The sequence below is a fragment of the Homo sapiens genome, chromosome 2 (genome assembly GCF_000001405.40).
Source record: "Homo sapiens chromosome 2, GRCh38.p14 Primary Assembly".
Classification (NCBI taxonomy): Eukaryota; Metazoa; Chordata; class Mammalia; order Primates; family Hominidae; genus Homo; species Homo sapiens.
In genome coordinates, this window is record NC_000002.12 from 157,424,445 (window position 1) to 157,446,318 (window position 21,874).

Genomic DNA, 21,874 nt, shown 5'->3' on the forward strand with positions numbered 1-21,874 from the left:
AACAACAAAAAATGGTAAGATCATCTATCAATAAAAAAACAGAATACCATATGATGTTGTTTCCTCAAATTGATATATATATATATAATGTGCAATCAGAGCCAGGAATGGTGGCTCAAGCCTGTAATCCCAGGAATTCAGGAGGCTGAGATAGGAGAACTGCTTGAGCCCAGAGTTTGAGACTATAGTAAGCTATGATCACGTTGCTGCACTCCAGCAAGGGCAATAGAGTGAGACCCTGTCTCCAAAAATAGATAAATAAAATTTGAAATCAATCAAAACACCAACATTTATTTACATATAATCTGCTTTTATAATTTATATAGATGATCAAAGGACCAAGAATAACTGTGCCCAATGTGATATCAAGATTCATTATAAATAGTTTGGGATAAACAAATTGACCCACGGATCATATTAGAAAGCCTATAAGCAAATCCATGCATATGTGGAACTTGCTTAAAAATAGAGGTTTTACTGCAAGTCAGTTGAAGGGGAAAGGGGGACTACAAAATAAATGGTACTGGAAGAACTGGTTATTCATATGGAAAAAAATTAAATTGGAATTTTCCCCATACCTCATAATATATATAAAAATTTATTCTGGATGAATTAAGGACTTAAAGGAAAAAGGAAAAATGTTAAAAAGCTTTAGCAGAAAATATAGATTACCTGCCAAAAATAATTAGGAGCTCTCTCATAGACAAAAATATTAAAGGAGTAATATATTCAAAGTGCTAAGGGAGCTAAACACCTACTTAGAATAATTCAATTACCTATCAAAACTCTCTTCCAATAGTAGCAGTGAAATAAAAACATTTTTACACAAAAATCTACTTATCCCCACAGAAGGAAGGACTATAGCAAGAAAGTAAGTAAACCTAGAGGTAAGGAGTACAATGCAACAAACAACAGCAAACATATCAAAACGAACAAGTTGGTGTATTTCTTCACTACCAGCTATAGAACAAAAATCTGTATTTTGTACTTTAAAAAAATTGATACAAATCCTCTAAAGTAAGTATAATAAGGAATATAGGGTCTTCAATGGGCATTTTAAACATTGTATGGTGCTCATGATGTTCTGGAAGAGGATGGAGATACTGAAAAATTCATACATTGGTAAGTATGTACATTAAAACTTAAGGCAAAAACATGCAAAGAATAGAAATTGCTTAAAGGCATCAAATAATGATTTGTGCAAGTTAGTACTTTATTCCATAGAATATAGCCCTATTTTTCATTCTTGTTTTCAATATTTCTTTTTTCTAAGAAAAGGTGAAAAAGTTAAACTTTTTTAAAAAGATGTTCACTAAGATTATCTTTCTTTTGCAAAAACAAATTAACTTTAAATTCAAGTACAATATGAACCACTGTTTACCCCTCATAAAAATGTAGCAACAAAAATGTTAGAAATGTTTTCTTTAAAGTCAACCATAAGATTACCATTATTTACAGTATATTGATGATCCTAGCCAATGCTATAGGAGAGGAAAAATAAATTAGTTTCAATAATTGAGCTAAAGGGGCAAAAAATTTTATTATCTGCAAATGATAAGAAATCTATATAGAAAATATAAGGAAATCTATAAAAATTATTATTAGAATAAAGGGAGTTCAACAAAACTGGATTTTTTAAATTTAAACAAAATCATTAGCAATAAGTGGCTGAAAATTAAAAGATTAATATAGCAAGAACAATGAGGAAGTAAACAAGAATGAATATAATAAATGATATGTAAAAATATAGGAAGATAATTACAAAATATTTTTTAAGTCCATAAAAGATCTGAATAAAAAGATTGAGATCCTGAATTCAAAGTGAGAAAAGTGAAAGCCATAAAGATTTTAATTGCTCTCATTTATTTCATAAATACAATTCAATTCCTGTCAAAATTTGAGCAGAGGTTTTTTCAAGGAATTCTATAAATTGATTTAACAAAGCACAGAGATAAGCACAGTGGCAAGAGTATCCAAACCAATGTTGACAAAGAAAGCAAGACTTGTTGATGAGTTGGATGTGGAGGAAGAAAAAGATACAAAATAAAATCCACTCTCTTGGGCTCAATAATTAATAAGCTCATATTTCATGAAGAAAACTAACAAATGGCAGCTATTTCTAAATAAAGCCAAAGTAAGCAACCTGCTTAAAGTAAACTACAATCTCTGCTCAGATTGGCTACCTGGTTGCTCTGCAAGGGGGAGATTGGGATGCAGAGGTCACTGAGACAAACAGAGAGGTCTTTAGAACTATGACTCAGATGCATGAGTGAGGGTCTGGACTTCATGGCTTAGGAGACCCTCATCAGCCCAGAAAACTGAGATTTTTAAAAGCCTCAAAAAACCATCCCAGGGAATTTTCAATGGACCTCCTGCATTATTTACTATCTCTTGGACGCTAATTTCTTCCTCCTTTGAATTTGCTAGTGTATTTGCCAATGAAAGCAGATTCAAGGACAGTCACAGGATTAGACGGATAAGGTTTTCGTTTTAAGGATGAGGCAGAAGAGAAGGACACCAAAAGAGGACACGGAAAAAGTGAAAAACCCAGGCCCTCCAACACACTTGGGAAAATAATGACCTTTTTTGTTTTAATTCCAAACAAAATGTAAATCAATAGAGATCACAGGTGCACTAATGAAGAGTTCTTCAAGTGGCATGCCTTCCTGTTGCCTTTCTGAGCCTCATAGACACACAGAAGGAGGAAGGAAGAAAGTGATTTACACTGGTTTGCAGAATTTGATATTCCTCCAAAGGTAATTGTGCGGCTCTTGATAATTCAGCAGTTTAGATTCACCACGACATTTCTTTTTCAAGGGCTATCTCAGTTCCTCAAATAGATCTTTATTTTACCACTCACACATTCAAGGATGAAAAATGTGCCTCACTGCATTAAATTAAATTACCTTTAAAACCTGCAGCTTTGCTTCAAGCTCCGTTCTTTTCAGAATCATTGTTCCATTAAGAGTCTCTATCCTGTTTTAAGGAAAAAAAAAAGAAGAGGAAGGTGGGGAGTGAGTAACATGAGTGATTCGTTTAAATAAGTACCATACTACAGAGTACTACACTTTGAGCACATACTATACTAAAAACGAAATACAAATGTTACAGTTCTCATGGCACTTCGAGTAGCTGGACCAAAGCCAAATCTTCTGATAACAGAGAAAGAAAATGGGGGAAAACTCCCCTTGAGAAGGTGGCTAAAAGAAAGGATCCTAGTTAATTTGTAAACTATAGCTTATTTTATAGAAGTCACTATGTGACAATGATGGCTGCTCTCTACTAGAATCTGTTCTTGTGGGGATGGGCTGAATGACCTCACTCATTTGGTAAATATTTATTGGGCATCTACTATGTACCAGATTCTAGAAACCATGCTGAACACAAGGGGCACAACAACAGAAATAATAGGCTCTAGGGGCTTTCACAACCATGGAATTAACATGCTACTTCTTGAAAGAGGGAGAAATCCTTTCCTCCATAGGATTCTAGGAGCCTTTACCTCTGTAAATCTCCTTATAATTTTGGTACTAGAAGAAACAGAAGTACAACTACTATGACATAATAACCTTCATATGATTCTTTATCTCAAAACATTCAGTTTACAAACTCTAATCCTAGAATTATCAACTTACCAGTGTTCTGTTCTTCCCACACCACACACATTTCTAAAAATAAAATACTTGTTCTATTCTGAGTGATTTGATTTGTTCTGTGTGTTCAAGTTAAAGGCTTTTATTTTGACTACTAAACCATCAATCTGAATATGATTTAAAAATTTCATTTGTGAATCACACACCAATTTTTAAAGTGTTGGTTCAAGTTCCTTCTTGTAATTAAGCTGTACCTCTCTATAAAGATGCAAGGAATTTTTCAAGGCATGGTAAAAGCATTAAATGTGGAGATCAGTCTTCTACTTCTAATAGCATCATGCCAGGAATAATCAGGTGGTAGCAAGCTATATACTGTCTGTTTTCTCCTTAAGGTGATCTTGACTCTCTGAGAAATAGTGGGAATCCATATGAATCTGTTTCATTGGGATTGAATGTCAGTTTGACCTGCTGAAGCAATAGATGTGTATGGGCAAAACTGCAACCATTGATTTGGCCATTTTCCTCAGTATTTGTACAGACTGTCTCCCATTTTCCCGGATTTCCAACAGTTACCTCCATCTACAACCCCTATTTACCTGTGGTCTACCCTCTTCACCCATGTGGAACATGCTTTCTGACTCTAACTACCAGCAGTTCCCCTCAGACTCTGCACGGTTCCTCTCCTTTGGATCCAGGGTTCTCTAGAGCAAAAGCACCTCATCCTTTACCCTGAACTCACAGGACCTATAGAGTTGGACCCAATTTGTTACCACCACCATCTTTCAAATCTGCTCTCACAAACACCCAAAGCATCCTTTGAAGTTTTACACCAGAATCACTGAAAAGCATCCAGCAGATTTTCTACTGGCAGCTTCCAAGGAGCAGCTGTAGCTGAAAAGGACAGATCCTGGCATCCAGAGCAGGTGGTCAAACCCCAGCCCTATCACTTACCAGTTATGTGACCTTAACTAAGCCCCCTCTAAGCTTCAGGCACTTCATCTATAAATAGGAATAAAATTAACCTCATGGGTGGCTGTGAAGAATAAATGACACAATATATGACCCACCTCAATCAGAATAAAACCCAAACTTGTTGGCATGTCCAAAGAGATCCATGGTCTGCCCCCAGGCCAACTCTCTGGCTTCATTTCTTATTATACCCTCTCTAATCCATCAAATACCAATTATACTGTCTTTTTCTCTTTCCCTTGTACATGCCAAGCCCATTGTGAGCACTCAGAGACCTCTCTCTTTGCCTGAAGTGCTCTTACGAGGAGTTCATTTGACCATCCTTCTCTTCATTTAGATCTCAACTCAAATATCGCCTCCCTAGAAAAGACCACTTTACACATCTAAGCCAAACTAGCAGCCTTCTTACCTAGCATGACAGGCCATTGCTGTTTTGCACTTTTCTCATAGTAGTTATCAATAACTGAAATATACACATTACTTAAATTTCAGGCTTTTCTGAGCCATTTCCTTCCATAACTATTAACGTACTAAGAGAGTCTTTATCTTCGTCTCTCCTGAGCCTATCACAGAGCTGGAAACATAGTATTTGCTCAATAAATATGATTTTAATGAATGAGCGAATTTCATCATTTAACTATCCTAATAAGATTTTATTAGGTGCTAGTATTGTTATGGTAGAAAAATCAGTCAAACCTCTAATTGGGAAAGCCAGTGTTCTATTAAGAAGTTTGGGGCCAGGGGCGGTGGCTCATGCCTGTAATCCCAGCACTTTGGGAGGCGGAGGCGGGTGGATCATGAGGTCAGGAGATTGAGACCATCCTGGCTAACACGATGAAACCCCGTCTCTACTAAAAATACAAAAAATTAGCCGGGCATGGTGGTGGGCGCCTGTAGTCCCAGCTACTAGGGAGGCTGAGGCAGGAGAATGGCGTGAACCTGGGAGGCAGAGCTTGCAGTGAGCCAAGATCGCGCCACTGCACTCCATCCAGGGCGACAGAGCGAGACTCCGTCTCAAAAAAAAAAAAAAAAAAAAGAAGTTTGGAACATTTGGAACATGTGGTGTGAGTATGTGTGTTTCAGGGTGGGGAGGGTTGAACAGACTATTCTTCCTTCCAAATGGAACACTAGAAGAGAAAAACAGGTGGCTTGTCACATAAGAGGAAAAACTCAGCCCTTCTGACCTTTGATTTGTTTTAGCTACAGGATTATATCAACCATGAAAATTGGATCAGTTCTTCCCAGTTTAAAGAGAATGTGTGCCAGTTTAATTGAATTTGACATTAAAAAAATACATTTGTAAAGGCCATCCTTCCCACACAGACGTTTGGGCTATTGATGTCCTCTGACTTCAGATGTTGACAGTATGTTCAAGTGTGAGGAATCTTGAGAAACAAAAGGAACTGATAATGTTTGTACCCCACTCTAAAGCTCCGGTGCACTGCCTCACTCCGTCTTGTAATGCTGAACAAAAGGCCTATTTATTCACTCATCAGGCTTTATGAGAAAACATAACATTTTGAAGCCCCACGGGAACTAGACAGATAGTTACGTTAGCAGGTTTCCGGACGATCTGATCAGGTCAACGACTTGTTTGTAGGTAAAACCTTCTGTGCTCACACCATTGATATTTGCAAGGACATCACCTGGGAGATGCCAAGAAAAATGAGTGTTATGTTGGTTAGTTAAATAATCCCTCCTGACATGCAAATGAAACAAGCAGCTCCAAGTCTTAAAAACATAAAGGAGCCAAGAAAACTCAAAGCAACAAATACATCCTGACCTTCACTCTCAAAACATTTTATTTTCTTTCCATTTAAATGATTCCTAACATGAGCAAAAATTTAAGTTACCAGCTTGCAGGCCAGCACAGTGAGCTGGGCTGTCCTCCTGTATTTTGCATATCAAAGTGAACATTTCCGAGGAGCAGGCATTCTGATTCTGGGGCCTGTAAGACTGTAAAAATTAAGATGATATATAGTTACTATTTAACAACCTCAACATCTATTTGCCAAAATTTAAAATGATGTCAATTATCATTAAGCAGTATAATAGGTAAGTTCAAAGGACAAAGGATTTCCACTATAAACTAAATCAAGGTATCAATTTTGCAATTCTACCAGACAATCTGTAGCCAACTCCATTCATAAAGACATCTGTCATGAGAAAGAAAGTGAAATGAGAGTGGCTCAAGATTTTATATTTTCAAGCCCAAGATATCACCTGATGCTATCACGATTTATTTTTAAAAATTGAGTTTCTCATTTCCCAATGGGATAAAACAACGATGGCCAAGTGCAATGAGAAAAATCCCTAAGTGGTTCTCCCAAGCTAAAACACTCATTATAGGAGTATGAAATTGTACACATGCAGCAAGGAGACATGCCAACAATGATTATTTTAAATCAGAGTTCTGCACATAATGACAATCTGCCCTGCATTTATTCAAAAGTACTATAATTGACTCAATTACCTTCATTTCTGAGCACCCTCTGGTATGCCTGTCCTGAATCCTCACCGGTTCATTAGTCACCCAACTAAATTAGAAAAAGTTAAGCTTCAACTCTTGCCTCAATTAGGCACAAGTAGTTTGGTGGTGGTGGGTTTTTTTATTTTTAATTATACCAAAACACTGAATAAATGTTTGCTAGATATAGTGTCCCAATGACCTATAACAAATATAATTTTCTTTTTTTCACACATTTAAATTATGAAGTCTAGTTCCACTTAGAAGCAAAATCAGTGTTCTGAGTAGAGTACGTCTTTTAAACATCTGATTCCTAAAATTAAGCTACATTAAAGTAGTACTTCCTTGTGAAAAAATTGATGTCTGATGTTCATTCTTTCTTATTCAATAATCCCTGAGGCATCACAAGTCAGCCACATGCAAGCAACTTCTAGAAACTTGGGTCTGTTCACCTCTAAAGGACTTCTATCTAATCTATAAGGCACTTAGAATCCCCATATCTTAAAGGTAGAAGGGACTTTAAAAGATCATGCACTATGTTCCCATCTATGTCAGAAACTTCATTGACAGCTTTCCTGCCAGGGGTCTTCTCAGTATAGCCTAGACCCTTCTGGAGATGAAAGACTGATCTAGTTCATGTGGTACATGAATAAAATATACAACTGACACTCCTTTGGGAAACCACTGTTCTAACAATTCTCATTAGCAGTGAGACTCTACCCTCCATTCCCAGAGATCAAAGTAAGTACAGTGCAGTAGAAACATGTTGATTTATGTAGCTGGCACCTCCATATATGTTCACATTGGGTGTAAAATATGGTAGTTAGAAATAGAAAAAAACAGAAACCCCAAAGCTACAGAAAGTATTAATTGGATGCTTTTTTCTCTTACCCAGTCTTCTAGCTCCCATTAAGGGATCAGTGACACAATGATCACCTGCATTTCTTAGAGACACAAAGATCTCATTGTCCTTTCTCATGCCCAGTGACATTCATTCTAACACCTGTCATTTGTGGATCTTCTATTGGTAAGGCACATCACTAGGTACATTGCATGTATTATTTCATTTAAAACTCCTAAGGACCCCATAAGGCATTAGGAGGATATGAATTCAGGTGTGCATGAGTCCAAAGTCTGCATTCCTATTGGGCTGCACGATTCTGATAAGCAGCATAAAACTAGCTCCCATGGAGAACCATGGATCTGGTCTCTTCCAAAGTGTCATTCCTCTAGTAGGCCACATCCCAAACATGTACTCACACTGCATGCACAATATGGGTACATGAGGTTCTATCTGATTTTCAAAAAGTTCCCAGAAGCATGTCTCCTATTTGTTAACTGCTGCAAATCTGATGAGTACTAGGGAATAGATTATGGTGTGTATTTGACAATGGAGAGCATATACCAGAGGGAATTTACAGGAGTGTGGGTTCCTGCATCACTGAGATAACACCTACATGCTGCCATTTAGAGGTGCCATTAGTTCATGTTGATCTACAAAAGTTCAGTGGTGTTGTGGCCTGACATAGTTTTGACTCTTGCTCCACGGAGAATAAGTGTTTATGGTATGGGAGAAAAACTTAAGAAAGTAGTGACATTATTATGGCAGTATAAGAAAAATAAAGAAAGGTGAGTAGTCGTTTATCCAGTTTTCAGTAGCCACTGCTGCACATCCTTGAGGATAATTTTCCTTTAAAAAGAAGCAGTGACAAAAAGCAGTGTCTCTACAACAGAATAGGGAGTAGTTCATATGACCGGGGAGTAAGAGGGAGCACTATGCTTCTAAAACCTATAGATTTCACCAGTTACTGTGGTGAATTACAGATTCCTCCAAATTTAAAAGTACAGGAGTTAGGAAAGTAGAAGTGATCCTCTTTTCAAAGTGCCTTCTCTGTCTTCATTGCAGCTAAAGTTCCATTTTGTTTCTTTACTCATAAAACATGTTTTTCTTAGCAGTTTCCTGTTCCTAATCTTAAAATAAACACTGACTTTCCAATTGTGGGGCTGATATCACACCAGAGTTTTCTGAAAGCAGCAGTAAAGCTAAGATCTAAAATCTGATATAGAGTGTAAGAATATGATTATGCAAAACACATCCAAAAGACATGCAAACGTACTATGGAAAAAAAAAACAGAAATGCTTAAGCTACTACTGTTGCACTTAATTGGGTTAGACTTCATTTGACCTACCTCACCCATTTTACAAATGTGCTCATGAAAAAGCAGACAGCTAATAAGCAATGAAATTCTTAGGCAATTATGCTGAAACTTATAAAGACTTAAAAATTTCCTACAGCATGAGGCAATCTGCAAGTAGAGCCAAATGTTCTCAAGTGTTTCAAATAACAATTATAAAGCATTGTCATTAGGAAAAAAAGCTACAAATTGCTCATTATGTACAATATGAACTCTAGTTGCAAAACATACCAGGAGCTATCCATGAATATATGCATTCTATATACACAGATGTATAGTCTTTCGAGTGTCTCTTGAATGCCAAAGTAAATACTTAAAATCTGATACACAGTATAACAATATGATTATACAAAACACATGCAAATATATCAAGTACACATCTGTAAAATGTATTTCACTCTCTTATCTAAGACCTAGCTGATACCAACCTAGCTGATCAGTCTGGGACTTAAGGGAAGACTGAAGCAACTAAGCACAAACTGCTGAGCATATCGCAGAGGTTTTGTTATCATCTTCAATGTTTTCTTTCCTTAATAGTACTCAACACACTGAAAAACTACCCCCAAACAGCCACACACTGAATAAAAGTCATAGGCTCCATCATTCTCTAATCCTAACTTCATTTTTTCTTTGCACATAACATGACACTACCGGTGCCACTTTCTTCCTTGGAAGTCTAGAAAATGTGAAAATTGCCCACCTGAATTTCAAATCCAAATGTTTCATTATCCTGCTTCTCCACAGTAACAAGCTTTCTGTAATAAAAATGTTTAAAAAAGAAACTGCATGAAAATTAAAGTATCACATTTGGCACAGATCTATCATTAAAAATAACTGTCACAATTAAAAATAACTGACATTTATGTAAATTGTAGTATGTAAGATTCTGTGTGTGTGTCTGTGTGTGTGCGTCTGTGTGTGTGCGTAGAGAGAGAGAGAGAGAGAGAGGAAGAGAGAGGAAAAAACAGTCTGGAGAGCTATGTTCCTAAATATTTTGGGAGAGACAAAAAATAATTCAATCTCTTTACCTTTGAGACCAGGAAAAGTCACTTAAAGAACTTGATCTGGTCAAAGCAAGCTGAAAAACACAAAAGACATATAGTTATCCCAGGGTCTTCAAGATACACTGTAAAATGTTCTAAATCTCTCTCTCTCTCTCTCTCTCTCTCTCTCTCTCTCTCACACACACACACACACACACACACACACACACACACACACACACACACAACCTGTTCTTTACCACCTTCTTTGGCCCAGCTCCTGGGAAATTGTTGCATAAAGGCAGCCATTTCCATTCTCTACATTCTCTAGTGATAGCAGAGGAGAGTAGGGAGACAGGATTCTAGGCATTCCAGTTAAAAGATTGAAAGAGGTTTAGATAGTAATACAATGTGGCAAAAGAGTTAAAATAATGTGGCAAAACTCCAAAGCTTCCAAAGAGAACTTCCTCTCTGGTCTGTATTTAAAACAGCCTCTGAAAGATTAACCATAGCAATTTGTAATCACACTGAAATCCAAAGAAAAATAGCATACTTAGAATGGCATATGAAACCCAAATACTTTATAGTTTTTGGAGATGATGATGAAATGACAGTGTTTACTATAATAATTCAATACGTTACTGTTTTTAGTAGGATAAAATAATCTCTAAACAACCAACTCACACACACAATTCAGGTAAAACCAGGAACTCAAAACCTCATTTCTGCTTATGATTTATTTTTGTAATAGTTTTGGAAGACTAACGTGAAATTTCCAGCCAAGAAAGGAAAGAAACCTCAGAATAGTATCAATGGTATAAATAATATCACCTTCATTCCTCTGCACTTTTGGAAAAGATCATATAAACATAAGCTTTCAGGACACATTCTACCACTGTAAACAGAAGCAGCATCAACAAAAGGTGACAACTTATTTTTTAGGAAAATTGCAGCAGGTTTTTGTGTTTTTTTGGTCGGTTTGTTTCTTTGTTCAGGAAATGTTTATTAGCCCTATTCTCAAATGTTGCTTCAAGGGCCCAAAACATAAGCTACTAGCTAACCCATGGTTTTTAATTGTCAACCTGAAATGGTTGTCATATATAAATGAACACATAAAATATCAAGAGATCAATGCATAGTCAGTCCAGACAAAGCAAAATAAAATAAGTAAAGGATGAAAACTAGAAGGGGGAAAATATGTAGGAGATATTAATGCTTATGTGACAAGTTACACAAATGAAATGCTTATTAAGACATTCATTAGGAGTGAAGCCTACATCACTGTAGGAATTTTGAATTACCAGGTACCAAATGCCAGCATTTTCACAAATTTCCTGGAATGGACCAGTGTTAAGAATTCAGCCACCAGTCCATAAACTTAACGTAATGGAGAGGTGGTCTCTTCTTACCAATTTGCTGTAAATTAATTATATTTTCCTCTTTTGTTAGTTCTGGGCTTCAACTCACTTATATCGCAATGGAGACTGAAATAAATTGCTCAGACCCAAAAAGATTCTCTAGTCTTGCTAAAAAGTATCTCTTTTCAATTTATAAGCACTAACTGTGGAATGCCTACAAGGATTGGTATGGTTTGTTGTAACCTGATTTTGTACCTCGTATGTACCGTTACCAAGGATAGGGACTATTCATCTATGTTAGTGGGCTTCCTTGCAGAAGAGAGCCACAAACTTGATATTTCCAAGCATTCTCAGTCTCTCCCTTATATTGTACTCATATTTTCTTAATCTATTTTTATTATCTTCAGCTGCTTGTTTTCCGCCCTTAAGCCAAATTACGTAATGATAACTAGGGCTTTTTTATTCTTTTTATAAAAGTTTCTTATACCTCTATAAATAAGGGCTTATATTTTTAAGGTATTACTCTTGCTATCAGTATTCATCATATTATTCATATATCCATATAGAGAGAGCTATATATATATGTATACATATATGTATATATTTATATGAAATGCATACTGGATCAAATACTTCACATCTGTACATAATCATCTGTGTGATTTGGACCTCTTGGGGAATGTTATTTGTTTTACTTTCTGCCCCAATGCCCAACACAGGGCCTGGAATAGAATGGAAACTTAAAAATGGAGAAATAGATAAAAATAAATAAACTACTAAACGAAAATGGAAGCAACTGAGATGGTTGAAGAGCCACATTAAATATTCACGTTCAGGAGAAATATGTAAAGATAGTCTTCAACATTGTCCTTTATTAAATTCAATATCATAGGAAAAACTCAAGGATAATCACTAAAATACATAAAGTAAAATTTAAAAATCTTAAATATGTAGCAAGATTTAAAAATGAAAGAAAACAGACAACTGTATATCCATATGCAGAAGAAAGAAACTAGACCATACCTCTCACTCTATACAGAAATCAACTGAAAATAAGTAAATGGATCAAAACCTTCATGTAAAACCTGAGACAATAAAACTACTGGAATAAAACATAGGGGAAAGGCTTTAGCATATTGGATTGGGAAAAAATTTTATGAATAAGACCTTCAAAAAACAGGCAACAAAAGCAAAAATAAACTAATGGGGTTATATTAAACTAAAAAGATTCTGCACAGCAAACAATTAACAGAGTGAAAAGACTACCTGTGGAATGGAAGGAAATATTTGCAAACTACTCATTTATATATCCAGAATATATAATGAACTAAAATACCTCAACAGAAAAAAAAAAATTTAAAAATGGGCAAATGATCTGAACAGACGTTCCTCAAAGGAAGCTATACAAGACTGGGCATGGTGGCTCACACCTGTAATCCCAGCACTTTGGGAGGCCAAGGAGGGTGGATCAACTGAGCTCAGGAGTTCAAGATCAGCCTGGCCAACATGGTAAAACCCCGTCTCTACAAAAATACAAAAATTAGCCAGGCATGATGGCAGGTGCCTGTAATCCCAGATACTAGGGAAGCTGAGTTGGAAGAATCGCTTCAACCCGGGCGGCGGAGGTTGCAGTGAGCTGAGATCATGCCATTGCACTCCAGCCTGGCGACAGAGTGAGACTCCATCTCAAAAAAAAAAAGAAAAAAAAAAAAGAAAGGAAGAAAAAGAAGACATACAAATGGCTAACAAATATATGAAAAAATGCTCAATATCACTCATCATTGGGGTAATGGAAATTAAAACCACAATGAGGTATCATCTCACACCAGTTAGGATAGCTATGATCAAAATGACAATAAATAATAAATGCTGGTGAGGATAAGGAGAAAAGGGAACTTTCATACACTGTTAGTGGGAATGTAAATTAGTACAGCCACTATGGAGAACAGTATGGAGGTCCCTCAAACAACTACAAATAGAACTACCATATGATCCCGCAATCCCACTACTGGGAATTCATCCAAAGGAAAGGAAATCATTATATCGAAGAGACATCTGCACTCCCATGTTTATTACAGCACTATTCACAATAGCCAAGAGATGGCATCAGCCTAGGTGTCCAACAACAGATGAATGGATAAAGAAAATGTGGTATATATACACCATGGAATACAATTCAGCCATAAAAAAGAATGAAATCCTGTCATTCACAGCAACATGGATTGAACTGGAAGACATTATGTTAAGTGAGATAAGCCAGGAATAGAAAGTTAAACACCACATGTTCTCACTCATATGTGGAAGCTAAAAAAAGTTGATCTCATAGAAGTAAAAAGTAGAACAGAGGATACTAGAGGCTGGGAAGGGTTGGGGGAAGAAATGGATAGGGACACACTTGTTAAAGGATAAAAAATTACAGCTAGATAGGAAGAATAAGTTCTAGTGCTCTATACTGTAGGCTAACTATAGTTAACAATAGTATATCATGTACTAGTTTCAAATAGTTAGAAGGAGGATATTCAACAGTCCCAAAATGAAGAAATGATCATTGTGTGAGGGAGGTGATGGATATGCTAATTACTCTGATCTGATCACTGTACATTCCACGTATCAAAACATCACTATGTATACCATGAGTATGTATGATTATATATCAACTGAATAAGTACAAATTTTAAAAACCAAAAAATTTTAAATGAAAGAAAACAGACAAGAACAAAAAAAAAAATTCAATCCGAAACAAGAAATGCAGAAAAAGTACTAACAGAAAACAAAGATAGTAGTGCCTTAGTACATAGCTGCTAAGTGGATGAATGGTGGCAAGAATTAATAAATTATTAGTAAAATTTTGAGCCTTGTCAATTTTAAATACCCTTTTAGTATGCCGGAAATCAGTGCATCTATTAGGAACTTCAAGATTTCATCCAATCGGTCTTTTGAATCAAAAGTCATTCTGGATAGATTCAAATGTAAAATCTTTTAAACCACAGGACAGACCTGAAGCCTCTATAGATATTTCCCCCACCACTCTACTTCTAACCTTTCTATCTAGCTAATTGACTAGTTAAAGATGAAAATATTTGTCTAGCACAACATGAGAAGCATAGCAGATTTTCAGTTCCTGTGGACTGACTAATTTGGGTTATCAGCAACACCAAAAGTCAGATTAAGTCAAATTACAAATTAGTTTCCATTCGGTATTAGCTAAGAGGCTGTTTCAAGCATCTAACACTTAAACAAAAAACAATTTAAATAAATTAAGTACCGTCAAATTCTCTGACACGTGCCACGTCTTGACACAAAGCCTGCTTGTTTTTGATCCGGGCTGTCAGACTCAGGCGATGTGGAAAGGAATGTTCCCAGGGTTCGAAACTAGCTCACACACCAAACTACCTGCCTAAAGTGAAATGAAGTGTGTCTAAGGTCTTATCAAGGGTTTTGCACTTTGAAAAAAAAAAAAAGTCTTTCCTGCCCCGCTTTCCCTAGGGCGAGCAGCCTTATTCAAGGATCTGACCAGTGGGGTCTATGTTCCCCAGACAGCCCTCCAGTCAGAGCCTTTTCTAAGGGTTGTAGTGATGGCGCCAAAAATCATGAATGAGGAACTGGTGTGCAATTCACAGCATATGCTGGCAACAGCTGTCTTTTATTACACATTATCTAATATGAGAAATCTAGGTTTAGCAATTTGGCAGGCTTGCAAACTACACATTCAATTATGACTGCTGAATAGACAAAGCTTCTTAACTCCTTGCTAGCCATAATACACTGATACCTAGGGTTGGGCTTATGATCACTCTTCTGTTTTTAGTCAGATAACTTAAAAGATCAGGCATTAATATTCAAAATTTAATTTCTTCTGCTCTGCAGTGATTCTACACATTCCTCTTCAGTGGGAAACCAAGACCAAATACTTCAGCTGTCAATTTCTGAAAGACAGGAGTACTTGGCAGCTCAGCCAGATAGCCAGCTCTCCTTAGAGAAGCTCAAAGTTCAACACTTTAGCCACTTCTGGGTTACAGAGGTTACTTCCTCCTGGTCCCCACTCTATATACTCATCTCCTGAAAGTGTTGGGGAGGGTGCGGGGGAGAGGTTACTGATTCCAGAGTGAGGTTTTTTGTCACTGTTACTTGTTTCAAAGGCCCCAAAATTATGTGCTCTGCTCCCTTTCCAGTCCCCTGCCTCACTCCCCAATTCTTCCATGCAACTCCCACCCACTTTTAAATAAGGAGCATTAGGATATCAACGCTCCACAGACTATTCAAAGATGCAACAAAATAATGGAGCTGAACTTAATTTCCTGACGTTAAGTGCCCGGAGAAACCGAAATACAATACCGCCATTTCCAAGTAAGGTCTGATGGTGGGCTCACAGACTCTTCAAGAAAAATTATTGGATATTGACCATGCATGCCACAATACAGATTAAAGAATAATTTTCAAAGTCTTTTCTAGTGAAATTAGCACAGTTTTCTACCTAAAATTGTCATGAGGTGATTAAAATCCTTTGGTGTAGTTCAGGACAATTGGGAGTTACGGCACCTGATGGGTGTGCTGCCGGACACACCGTGAAAGCTCCTGCAGGGCAGAGCCCAGCCCAGCAGTGTACACATCCCAGAGCAGAGCACACATTCCCTATCTGAACTTATAGATGAAATCAGCCTGCCAGAAGTTGCCTATTTAGCAATAATGTGATAACTAAAAGAAAATTAGGAAAAGAGAGTCAGTCTGTGGTACCACTGAAGTTTGTGGACTTGTTTGTCAGGTCCCTGGTTCTCACTATAGCATTCTGTAAAAACTGCTTTCCAAAAGCAACGTACTACATTTATGAGAGTGGGTGGTAAGACAATCACTACTTCTTTGACATCATTGATAGAGACTGTCCTTAATTCCTCCTGTCTCCTTCCTACCGAGCTTTCCATTGCAAAGATTTTTTTTTTTTGTCCTAAAACTGTGTTCACAAGTAGAAGCCATACTGGGGTGTCTGACACTTCCTATCAGTACAGGTAGTGAGATAATATGCACACAGAGAAATCTATCTTTAAATAATTCTGAATGTAAACACCCAATTGATTCTGAAGACTAATAATTTGAAACTACAAGCTAACCAGATATAGCTTTGCAGAAACCAAAGCCAACAACAACAAGAAGTATGAGCTGTTGACGTCAGCCCTGAAAGTGTTGAAAATAACAGTAGGCAGAGAAACACCTGCTCATGTGATTGCCTCACAAGGATCTTGTTGCCTGCAATTTAGTCAGTGCCAAATGGGTGATTATTCTCTAAAAACCAGTTAAAGGAAATGAACATCCATTTGGAAGATTGTGAAATGTTGGGATAAACTTGCATCAAGTCTCATTGATGATAATTGTACGGAATCAGAACTATCATGTACAAGAAGTTTTGTTTTGCTATTTTTTAAAGCAATTCTCACAACAGTAAGAAAAAGCTGTTTGAATATGGAAAGTCTACCACATGAAAGAATTTGAGAGAAGGGGAATGAGAAGACCTAGAAAAGATGAGAACATCTGCATAAATTAATTAGTATGGGGATGTGTGTGTGCCTGTGTGCATATGTGTACATGTATATATGCACATACACACACACACACACACACACACACACACACACACGTGTATTTCATATGCCAAAATCCCTCTCTTTATCCTCCTCTGATAATCAGCCTCTCCTACTGATTGCCTTCTTTCAGTTCACGCTATCTTCACTCTGGCTTAAAACCAGATGTGACTCCTCCGTCTTCAGTCCCTTTCATATTAAAGCCTTTCAGTCTCCTTTCTGTTCCCCCATTTCCTCTTTCTCCAACTACTGCAAAAGTTCCTCCCTCACCACTAGTCTCTACTCACTAATCCACTACATTTCTACAATAAGGTTCCTGAAATCCTCTACTTCTCAAACACGTTCAGTGGCCCTCGTGCCGGCTTTTTCAGGGGAAGTTGTCCAAGTGTTCTGTAAAGCAGCCCAGCGCTGAGATCTCCTCTCACCTCCTACACACTAACCAGGTTCTCCTGACACACTTAATATTGTGTTGTTACACAAAAAAGTCCTCCAGGCACCAGGATCTATGCCTCAGCTTCAATTTCTCCCTTGCTCTGGAATACCCTTCAATATCTGGAATACCCTTCAATATCTCGAATATCTATTTCCAAGGCTATATTTACAGATGTTTCACTTCGATGAGAGTATTCATGTTGTTTTACTTTGCAGAAAACCCATTCTTTCTGCTTACTGAATTGTAAACAGTATATGGGTAGGAAACATTCCCTTCTCGTCTTTTTACCTCCTACACTTAGCATGATGTCTGTCTCCTTGTAGGTGCTCAGAAACCATCTGTTGCATTGAATTGCATGGGCTAGAGAGTAGATCAAATGAGTAAGGTTGCAGGTATGGAGGACATAGAGGGTGGAAAGTTCCCACCCTGATTGAAAAAGTACCCACAGTCTCCAGCAAAAAAAAAAAAAAAAATCATAGCCTAATCAAGTGAACCATAGTTGGTGTGATAGTGTCATGGCAAATATAAAGAAAATCTGACTGCTTTATATCTGAAAACTGAAAAAAGATGTCAGCATTTCTCATGTTGCTTTATCTTCAGACAGGTTGTAGATTGATAAAATGTTCATCATTACATTAAACTTTGTATCATAAAAGCACTTTAGATTGAGAACAATCAATAATCCAAATCATGGAAAATTGTGCCCTTATCTTCACTCCGAAAAATACCAAGGAATCAGCTATTATACATCACTGAAAAAAGATCATGTCTCTCCCACTATGCCATACCTCTCTAATCCTGAATTTAGAAGGCTTACGAGAAGCACATGATTGTACATGCAAGACTTAAGCGCAAAAATTCTTGCTCTAGGGCAATTCTAAATATTTTCTGTAGAAATGCTACATCGAAATTCAAATATGTACCTGGGGATTTAGAGCAAGTTGTTTAAAAAAAATCCTGAAGAGGTATTATGGTTAAAAAAAAATTTTTACATGTTAGAAATTGAAGAACGAAAAAATCAAAATAAATTCAGTTAGACATAGATTTTTCCAAATGAGTTTTCATCCCTAGAGACAAACTTTGCAATAAAAATATTAAAATGGCATAATCTAGCATTTAATAAACACACACTGAATGCCAGTCACTGTGTTAGGCACTGCACAGTTCCTTATTTAACCAACATAAGAACCCAATAAGGGTGGTTCTATTATTAACTCCATTTTAGAAAAAACAAAACTGAAGCTTAGAGAGGCAAGTGGCTTGCTCAAGATCCCACAGACACTAAGTGGTGAGCTGATATTCAATCTGGCACTCATCTATCCAAAAAAAAAAAATCTTACTTTCCAATAGCCTGAGGTATGTGCCAGCAACCCAGAGCTGAAGATAATTAGTCAACAAAATTTGTCCTCAGAAAAAGTATTTCTTATTTGATTATGAACTGAAATGACCATCAAGGACTGCAAGTAAGGATGGAAGGGAAAGAATCAGTGGAGACACAATGGGGAAAAGAGAATTAATTCTCATACTGGTTGTATCTATATAAACCATCTTCAAGTTTTTTATGCTTAATGATGTTTATTTTACCTGAGCACTTCTTCAAATAAGAAAAACAATCTTAATTTTTGCCTTGAAAAAAAAGTTTGATTGTGGTCTCAAATCTTTGGACTGGTTCACCTAGCTCCCTGAGCATCTCACCTCCTTCACCCATAATAATCAGCCAGTAATTCCAAAGCCTCTAAAATATCACCATTAGTATGAAGTCAGACAAACATATCACTCTGCCCTCAAGAGAATGTGAACACTCTAAAGGGTACAAAATAGCAATCATACCTGCTTTCGTCCCCGAGGCAGAGTAGCCACCGTGTCTGCTAGCATTTGAATCCTTCTATTATCGTCCATCGTAAGGCTGCCGGTGAGTGTGGAGTAAGAGCTATACGCTGGCCCAGCGCAGAAGTCCGCCAAATTGCCATTGCTGCTGTGTTGCAGGAGCCTTTGTAAAGACATTGTGAATAAAGATCACTCCAGCTAGCACATGGTTGAGTGGCCTTGCAGGATGGGGGAAGCTAAAAGTACAACTGTGACAAGTAATCAAAAGTAGCAAAGCAGAAAGAGCCCATGTGACCTCTGTGGTTTGAGGAACTTGTTACACAAACCCTATCTTGCTATTCACTCCCATTTCTCAAAGCTTTTTTTCTTTAAGCTCCTGAGAGAACCTGGAGCTAATTTTTACAATTTAAAGAAAAATCAACTTATTTTTTCACCTCAAACAGCCAGAATTCTTACGCTTTTATGTTCTGTGGCAAGTTGCATTCACACCACCATTTGCCATTTTTTTCTTTAGAGAAGAAAGAAAAATGTCCCCAAGTGCTACCATTTGTTTCCCATCCATTCTCTTACTTAACATTAGCAATGCAATGCAGAAGTCAGCACACGAGGACATTCAGTTCTTGTGAATATGGGCAAGAATTACAGGTGCCGGTCATAATGTTCTCTCTCGAAGTCCTTGTAATACTGTACTTTCCCTGAAGTATACCCTAGATCATTAATGTTCATCAAAAAGACATTATATCTGCCACTGAGGTTGTAACCATTCAGCATTCTTCTGGTTGTCCTTTTACTACTTTGTCCTTACAAAAATTACCCATGATCTTTACAAAGTACAATGGGAAGGGAAAGCCAGCACATTTAGGGCACAATGTTGCCATTTCTTAGACGAGACTTTGCGGCAGCATCAGCAAGTGGTCCCAGGGGAGGAAAGGAGTGGGCAGGAAGGTAACAGGCAAACCAAGGTGGCACCAAGAACATTGCCTGTTGGTCCCTGCATGTGCATATGGGTCAAGGGCACCATCACCAAGTACTCAAGATCACAGATGCTTTTTTTTTTTTTCCTTTGGCTGAGGTTGGGGGCAGGTAGTTTTGAGAGAACTGGTTTCAGTGGAGGAGTAGGGGAGGCAAGTAAAAGGAAGAATCGAAACAAAAGTCAAAAAGAGAAGTTTTATATGGCACAAAAAGTCAAATGTGCTTTTTAAAATCTCTGAAGATCAATACTAGCATTTGAAAGAGTTAGCAAATCTTTGAACTAAAATGAAATGTGTGTGTACTGGAAGTGAAGATGAATTCAACTCAAGTAGAAATTGCCAAATATAAATAGTAAAATCTGAATTAATAGTGCTTCAAAAGTTGAAGCCAATTATAGATTTTAAAAACTCTATCACAGCATGACTCATTATACTGGAATTGAATTTTGACATGGACAAAGTGATATCACCACAAACATATAACGGTCTAAATCAGGAATTAAAAACACATACGTTTTCAGAAGCCAGGTAAGTAACATAAATGTGTAAGGCAAAAGGGAGTGGTAAATACCTTGGCAACTAAAGAATACATCAATTATAAAGATATTCACGTAAAATCTATATTTATAGATATGTACAGATATGTATACAGGTATATGTGGGGTGTGTGTGTGTGTGTGTGTGTGTGTGTGTGTGTATTAGGAAGACAGAGAGAGAGATTGATTTTAAAAACATTTTCAGGCTAAGAGGCACATAAATTAAATCATCACTATTAATGGATGACAGCAGTCCACTGTACCCTAGGAATCTGATAAAGTTAGGTAAATATTTTTAATTTTTATTCTTAATATTTTAAAATGCCAAATGGAAATTATACATTTGCTTAATATAAGGCCACCCACTCAGGCCAACTGACTCACCCATTTTTATAAATGACTACTAAAATTGTACCAATTCATTGTAATACTGACCTTAAGCTGATGTAAATCATAGATCATCATTCAATTAAGAAACTGGAAAATACTTATTACTTAACTCATGAAATGTGTTAAGTAAAATTTTTCAAATAATGGGATACCTGGATACAAAACAAGGGTCAAAAGTACCTCTGACATCCAGCCAGCCCATATCAATGTGGTCACACCTGTTAATTACAAATTTTTGACCTAGTCTATTTTTATTGGTCATTTCCCTGTTCTGTCAGTGCCTGTGTCATGCCAGTCACTAATATCATGATCAAAAGTGTCCCTTGTGATAAAGGGTGGAGAAACAGTAATCTTTTAAGGGGAATGTGACTTCCAAACAACAAATCCTTGACTTACAAAGGTGTTCTACTGTTTAGAACATCTCTTTTCTTTTAGGATTTACCTTAGGAAAATTATAATAGACCAGACTCTCTTCCCCTTCAGCCTCCCATTTATTTTAGAGAGGTGATTCTGGAAATGAATTGGATCAAGCTACCTAGGTACTCAAAAGATTTCAGGAGTATCTCACTGTTCACAAA

At 37.0% G+C, this 21,874-nt stretch overlaps 1 protein-coding gene across 2 annotated transcripts in view, besides 5 other annotated features; it reads right to left on the reverse strand.

Annotated features, from left to right (window-relative positions):
* CYTIP (cytohesin 1 interacting protein) overlaps positions 1 to 19,645 on the reverse strand; it is a 29,471-nt gene extending 9,826 nt beyond the window's left edge. The window contains exons 1-6 of one of the 2 annotated variants that reach the window (NM_004288.5): positions 19,403 to 19,645; positions 10,254 to 10,303; positions 9,926 to 9,980; positions 6,416 to 6,518; positions 6,115 to 6,208; positions 2,907 to 2,976 (exon numbers count right to left, since the gene is read on the reverse strand). In NM_004288.5, coding sequence (NP_004279.3) covers positions 2,907 to 2,976; positions 6,115 to 6,208; positions 6,416 to 6,518; positions 9,926 to 9,980; positions 10,254 to 10,303; positions 19,403 to 19,576 — 546 coding nt within the window. In that variant the 5' untranslated portion in view covers positions 19,577 to 19,645. Of the gene's footprint in view, positions 1 to 2,906; positions 2,977 to 6,114; positions 6,209 to 6,415; positions 6,519 to 9,925; positions 9,981 to 10,253; positions 10,304 to 14,831; positions 16,648 to 19,402 lie in introns of those variants that run through there. The other variant, XM_017005386.3, reaches the window with a different exon arrangement.
* Positions 14,591 to 14,660: an enhancer, noted in NCBI's record as "active region_16671". NCBI's record gives its function as "activates an Ori minimal core promoter by ATAC-STARR-seq in GM12878 lymphoblastoid cells {active_cell/tissue: GM12878}" and the evidence as "EXISTENCE:reporter gene assay evidence [ECO:0000049][PMID:35858748]".
* Positions 16,798 to 16,877: an enhancer, noted in NCBI's record as "active region_16672". NCBI's record gives its function as "activates an Ori minimal core promoter by ATAC-STARR-seq in GM12878 lymphoblastoid cells {active_cell/tissue: GM12878}" and the evidence as "EXISTENCE:reporter gene assay evidence [ECO:0000049][PMID:35858748]".
* Positions 16,948 to 17,047: an enhancer, noted in NCBI's record as "active region_16673". NCBI's record gives its function as "activates an Ori minimal core promoter by ATAC-STARR-seq in GM12878 lymphoblastoid cells {active_cell/tissue: GM12878}" and the evidence as "EXISTENCE:reporter gene assay evidence [ECO:0000049][PMID:35858748]".
* Positions 19,306 to 19,405: an enhancer, noted in NCBI's record as "active region_16674". NCBI's record gives its function as "activates an Ori minimal core promoter by ATAC-STARR-seq in GM12878 lymphoblastoid cells {active_cell/tissue: GM12878}" and the evidence as "EXISTENCE:reporter gene assay evidence [ECO:0000049][PMID:35858748]".
* Positions 19,446 to 19,495: an enhancer, noted in NCBI's record as "active region_16675". NCBI's record gives its function as "activates an Ori minimal core promoter by ATAC-STARR-seq in GM12878 lymphoblastoid cells {active_cell/tissue: GM12878}" and the evidence as "EXISTENCE:reporter gene assay evidence [ECO:0000049][PMID:35858748]".
* Positions 19,646 to 21,874: the final 2,229 nt, after the last annotated feature.